Genomic DNA, 6,579 nt, shown 5'->3' with positions numbered 1-6,579 from the left:
TCTTACAAAGTTAAACATATACTCTCCAGTGACCCAGTAATTGTACTCCTAGACATTTACCCAAGGGGAATGAAAAAGTTATATTCGTAAAAAGCCTGTACCTGAATGTTCATAGCAGCTTTCTATTACCAAAAAGTGAAATTACCAAAAAGTGAAAGTAAACCAAATGTCCTTTGATTGTTGAATGGATTAAAAGCCTGTGGTATATCCATGCCATGGACTACCACTCGGTAATAGAACAGACTACTGGTATACATACTAAATGGATAAATCTTAAATATATTATGCTAAGTGAAAGAAGTCAGAATCAAAAAGCTATATGTGTTATTGTGTTCCTATGACATTTTAGAAAAGGCAATGCCACAGGAACAGAAAACAGATCACTGGTTGCCCGGGACAGAGGAGAGCTGACTTCAAAGGGAGAGCCTGGGGGACTCTTTTGGGATGGTGGAACTACTCTATATTTGTCTAAAGGGGTTGCAATATGACTTATGCATTTGTCAAAACTGGTAGGACTGTACACCAATGAAAGCAAATTTTACTGTCTTAATTTAGAAATAAAAAATTAAAAACAGATATGTCTTAATATCCCTCTGTGGCTTCCCATCACTGACAAAAAACTCAATTTGCTTTAGACTACCATTCAAAGCCCTTCCTGTTTTGGTCTTTCCCTGCCTCTCTAGTTCCTTCTCTTTCCTGTGCCTCAGACAGGCCACATCACTGTGGTTCCCTGAATACCCTGCATTGTGTCTCAGCCTTCTGCCAGCGTGTGGTCCTCCAGGAACACTGTGCCTACTGCCTCTACAGTTTCTCTCCCCCTGGGCCCCACCCTAAGCATGTGAAGCTCCAACCAGGCTGGATGTCTTGCAGTTCCCCCAAAATGTGCTAGATAGTTTCAAGCCTCCTGGCCTCTGTGCATCCTCAGTCTGGAATATTCTTTCTCCCATGTACTCTTTTTAATAAAAGCCCAGTAAACATTCACTTGTCTTAGAATTCTCTTCTAACATTACTTCTGACATTTTTCCTGAAGCCTCCCCATGAAGGAGCTTGTTCTCCCCTTGTAATCCAACCATTCCATGCAGAGACTTCTATTATAGCATTTGAAAACATTGCAGCCATGTGTTTTCATGTCTATCGTGACCTAAGGGAAGGGATCCTTCTTTTTCGTTTTGTATTACTGCTACCTACACCTAGCATATTTCTAGCACATGATAGGGGCTTGATAGATGTTTGATGAATGAATGATTAAAAACCTAACAAGCTAATGAGCTAATAAATCTCATCTGGACTAAAACTCTGAAGTGTCCTATAGAAGAATGCTCTACATCATTCCAGTTCTGAGCAGCCCACTTCCAGCACATACTGTCTACTTTCTTTGATGTTTGTAAACTAGTGTCGTAATTACCTATTTACTGTACATGGTTATGCAAATAGGTAATTATACTAGATTGTGAGTTCTTCCAGGGACTCACTAAACTCTAGATCCCTAGCACCCAGGAGACAATGCCCAACTCAAGTAGTTACTCAATAAACTTGTGTTAAGCCAGGCATGGTGGCTCCCAGCATTTTGGGAGGCCCAAGGAGGGAGGATGGCTTGAGGCCAGGAATTTGAGACCAGCCCAGGCAACATGGCAAGATCCTGTCTCTACACAAAAATAATAAATGAAAATAAACTTGTGTTAAACTGACTTTTCAGATGAGTAAATTCCATGCTTTTTTCCTCTCCTGAGCCCAGGGCCCAATTAGGCTGCAGTGATGCCAGTAATAAGAAGTGTGGGAAAAGAAGAAAAGTTATAAAGTTCTTAAAGAGAAAACTTTAAGACGGGCATGAATAATCAGAGTAGAAAGACATCAATAACCCAACAGTAATAAATGTAGGGAATTAGAAATGACCTTGAACCACATTTTCCTCTGGAAAAATAATCCCTCAAAGAAAGTGAGAGCAAAATGAACAACGGTAGGATAAGCAAAACTGCTTATACCAAAAGAATCCTTGGAAGATAACACATGAAGTGAGCAGACACAGTATCTCCTTTTTCCAAAGCCCAGAATTGGTTTCAGGTCTGCTGCTCGGCCCCATCTCCCCAGGCACGTCTGCATTGTCCCAGGAATGATTTAGAACCTGCAAGGGCAACATGATTTTACTAATGAAGGGGAATTCTTGGTTCAATTTGGCCATGATACATTCTGAATCCAAGTGCAATAGTACATATTCTTTGAATCTCAGAAAGAGTTTCTAAGAATTTGACCAAAACAAATATTTATGTTATAGAAGAAGACTTTGTGAATATTAAACTTTCCCAAATGAACCCTGCTGGAACAGCATTCATTGGCTGAACATTGCCTCCCCACACCCCACCCCCTGACCCCCACTTCTCTCTCTCTCTCACAAACACACACACACACACACACACTCACACAAACACAATTTCACTGCCTGTTGCCCATTTGGAGCTGATTAGTTCATCCCCCAACAGGTACTAAAACATTATGAGCTCAATGAGCCTGCTTACCGCATTGAGTAACCCCAGACTTGTATCTCAGCAAGCCCTGTGCTGAAATGTAAGTGCCAATTCCCTTGCTGCTTATCATAAAATTCCCATCAGTTACATGAATATTTTTAAACACTTAACTTTGATCAATCCTTTGGCTTTTTCCTGTGTATGCGTATCTGTGTACGCCTGTGTCTATGGTGATTCTTTTATTAGATGGGTCTTAAATGTGATAGGCAATAATGCAACAAATCTAAAATTTCTAAGTCTATGTTCAGGGTCAGGACTAGGATGAGACAAGAAAGGGGCTAAAGTGGCAAAATTCAAGAAGGCCCTCACTCTACTCTCAGGGTACCCAAAGCTTTTTCACTGCCAGTCCCACTCATCTGAGGCTCTGTAAAGTGACATGCTTTACTACTGTGCAAAAAACACACACGCGTCATCTAATCCTCTCACAAAAAATGCTGTGTCTCCTCTTCTCATAGCTGACTAATTCTCAACCTTCAAGTTCTAGCTCAGATGTCTCCTCCTTGGAGAGAATGTTCCTAAATACCTTCTTTAAAGGAGTATCCTCTCCTATAATTCATCATGGCACTCTTATAGTTCTTCTCCATGTTGGTCAAAATGTATAATTACTTCTTGTTTATTGTCAGTTTCCACAAGAATATTAGCACTGTTAGGGCAGAAACAATGAATGTCTTGTTTAACACCATTCCCCCATTGCCTAGCACAGTGCCTGGCACATAGTTAACACACAATAAAATAATGTTTGAATGAATGGAACTTTAATGGCTTTGGGATGATTCAAGTCCACTAGTGACATTTACTTGCCTTGAATTCTTAGATGAGTTACATAAATCCTGTATGGCCCACCTTTGAATGTTCTCACCTCAAAATGGAGATGTTCATTCATCCATTCATTCATTAAGTTGCTTGCAAGGTATCTGACATAAATCAAAGAGTAAATAAATGAATATTTATTTTCCCATTTGGAAGCATAAAAAGTTATATACTGTTCAAATTTACATGGCCAGTGTTCTGGTTTTTTAGGACTATATAACAAACCACCCCAAAATTTAATGGCTTAAAACAATTATTACTTCACTATGATTCACAGTTCTTGTGAGTCAGGAATTTGAGAAGGGCTCTGTTGGGTAGGTCTGGCTTGAGACTTCTCACCCAGTCAGATGGTGGCCAGAGCAGGAAAAAAAAAAAAATGGAGGTCTGGAGAAGCTAGGGGTAAGCCAGGGATTGATATATTTCTCCCTCCTCTCTCCTCTCTCTCTCTCCCCCTCTCTCAGCATGCTGTCGCAGTGCTTCTTTATATGATCTCTCTAGGTAGACCAACTGGACTTCTTCACAGCATGGTGCCCCAGGGCAGTCAGACGGCTTACCTGCCAAAACAGTGCTCCATTGCAAGTGTTCCAGCAAACAAGGCAGAAGTTGTATTGCCATGTATGACCTAGCATTGGAAATGCAGCTAAGTAGATATTTCAGGATCCTTCCTGCCCACATTCATTCTGGAAAACAAAGGCTTCTTTTCATTTTGCTCCGTCTGTCCTTTTCAGTTCAAGCTGACACAATTCCTTTAAAATTTTTTGTGAAATTTTTGTATATTAATTTGTAATCTACTCCATTAAATGAAAGTTAGACAAAACTCTTTAAAGTAAGCCTTCACTCCCTGTGAGGTTGCCTTCGAAAAATTCCCTTAAGTGTCTTAAAAGTCCTGGCACAGTGGCTTATGCCTATAAATCCCAGCACTTAGGGAGGCCAAGGTGGGAGGACGGCTGTAGCCCAGGAGTTTGACACTCACCTGGGCAACATATTGAAACCCTATCTCTACCAAAATACAAAAATTAGCTAGGCTTTGTGGCTTACACATGTGGTCCCAGCTACTTGGGAGGCTGAGGTGGGAGGATCCCTTGAGCATGGGATGTGGAGGTTACATCCCTTGAGCCAACAGCGAGCCACTGCACTCTAGCCTGGGAGAGACAGCAAAAACCTGTATCAAAAAAACCCTAAACAAAACAGTCTTAAGAAAAACAAAAACAAAAAATTTTAAAAATCCTGTTAACACAAAGGGTCTGCGATGCACACCCTTCAGATTCTTAGAACATTTTTGTCTGTTTGAAAGGATATGAGGCCCCACCTAACATCTTTGAGGTCTTAAAGGATTGTACAAGACCACCCCGGATTTGATCTCTGCCCTGAAAATAGTACTTGAGAGTTTTTGTTTTCTGGTAAAATAAGAAACATTTATTTTCAAAAACAGTCTTGACATCTTACTGTTTCCTCTATGTTTTTATTAAAAACTGAACAGTTGCATTTTTGGCTTATCTGTCTATTTGTGTCTTAGCATGATGTCTAAAAGAAACCAGTTGGCCTTTTCAACATTCTGCTTGCAAATTTTCTCAGACAGATCCATTAGTTCATTGGGTACGTTTTCTCTTTTCCATACTACTACAGGTGACAATTTGGCTAAACTTTCTACCACCACCTAACAAAGGCCTCCTTTCTTCTGGTTTTCAATAAAGTTTTCCTCACATTCCTTTAAACCTTTACAACAGATTCTTCAGGGCCCACCAGGCTTCTGCTGACAATATCTTCAAGGCTCTTCCAGCATATCTCCCTGATGCCCGACCCCAAATTGTTTTCATCTTTTGTTCTAGCAGCACCCCACTACAAAGTAACAGTCTGTTCCACTTTTCTGATATATATCAAATCTATCCAATACTTAAGGTCTTGAAACAAGAACAAACATTTTATTCTCTTGTTGTTTCTGTGGGTCAGGAGTCTGAGAAAGATTCTACGAGGGTGGGGTTCAGTGGCTCACTAATCCCAGCACTTTGGGAGGCCAAGGCAGGCAGATTACTTAAGGTCAGGAGTTCAAGAACAGCCTGGACAAAACAGTGAAACTGTGTCTACTAAAAATTAAAAAAAAAAAAAATCAGCCAGGCATGGTGATGCGTGCCTATAGTCCCAGCTACTCAGGAGGCTGAGGCAGGAGAATCAGTTGAACCCAGGAGTAGAGGTTGCAGTAAGCCAAGATGGCACCACTGCACTCCAACCTGGGCAATAGAACAAGACTCCATCTCAAAAAATAAAATAAAACAAATAAAATTTTTAAAAAAGGCTCTGGCTTAGGGTCTCTCGTGTGTTTGCTGTCAGATAGTGGCTGGAACAGTAGGTGGGTTGGAGCAGATGGGAGATGCTGGGCAGCTCTTTTATTCATGTATGCTCAGGGCTTCTCCATGTAGTGTCATTACATAGGCTACCTTGGGCTTTCTCACAGCATGGTGCTTGGAGCTCCAGCAAGGCAGTATTAGCATCACATTTTGTCTTCACTTTGGAATTCACACAGCATCACTTTCATCACACACTGTTGGGAAATATAGTGAAAACACCTGCCCAGTTTCAGGAGAAAGAATGCAAACCCACGCCTTTATAGGAGGAGTGTTTTTTTAAGTGCAGATTTATTTTCAACCCTCTATATCCAGTAAGTAGCCATTGAACTACTTGTTTTCTATTACATTAAAGGAAATAGAAAACTTCATTCACTCATTCAATTATTCATTTATTCATATTCCCTTAATCCTCTGTGTATATCCTGTTACTAGAATATCACATTGTTTTCAAATGACCTCTTTTTGTATGTGTCTCTTCCCTTAGACTGTCAGATTTCCCAATGTGGTTGGGAATTGTTTCATTCTTCTTTGTGTCTTCATTACTTAGTGTGAAAGCTGACTCATAATAGATGCTCAAATAATATATGCTGACTAAACAGATGAATAAGTAAATTGTACTTTTACTTTATTTACAAATGTTGAATTGGAATATTTCCTATTAAGTAATGAATCACCAAAAACTAAATTTACATTTCTATTCCCTGTTGCTAGAAAATTTTGTTCTTATTAAGTCAACAGCATAATCCATTTATATTGGCTTTGTTTTGTAAATGTGCATTTTCACACGTAGACCACAGAGAGGGTGTACCCTGCCTTAGAATCCAAACAACTGAAGCAAATGTAAAAAATACCTTCCAAAAAGCAGGCTGACCCAACCACAGCACAGGACGGATTGCCCAGCA

The 6,579-nt window shown here is 40.1% G+C and overlaps 1 long non-coding RNA gene across 1 annotated transcript in view; it reads right to left on the bottom strand.

Annotated features, from left to right (window-relative positions):
* Positions 1-3,922: 3,922 nt before the first annotated feature.
* The window catches only part of LINC02451 (long intergenic non-protein coding RNA 2451), a 40,119-nt gene continuing 37,462 nt past the window's right edge, over positions 3,923-6,579 (bottom strand). The window contains exon 5 of the long non-coding RNA NR_135027.1: positions 3,923-4,012. This is a non-coding gene — a long non-coding RNA (long intergenic non-protein coding RNA 2451). The remainder of the gene's footprint in view (positions 4,013-6,579) is intronic.

This window comes from Homo sapiens, chromosome 12 (assembly GCF_000001405.40).
Source record: "Homo sapiens chromosome 12, GRCh38.p14 Primary Assembly".
Taxonomy (NCBI): Eukaryota; Metazoa; Chordata; class Mammalia; order Primates; family Hominidae; genus Homo; species Homo sapiens.
This window is presented reverse-complemented; position numbering and strand designations above follow the sequence as displayed.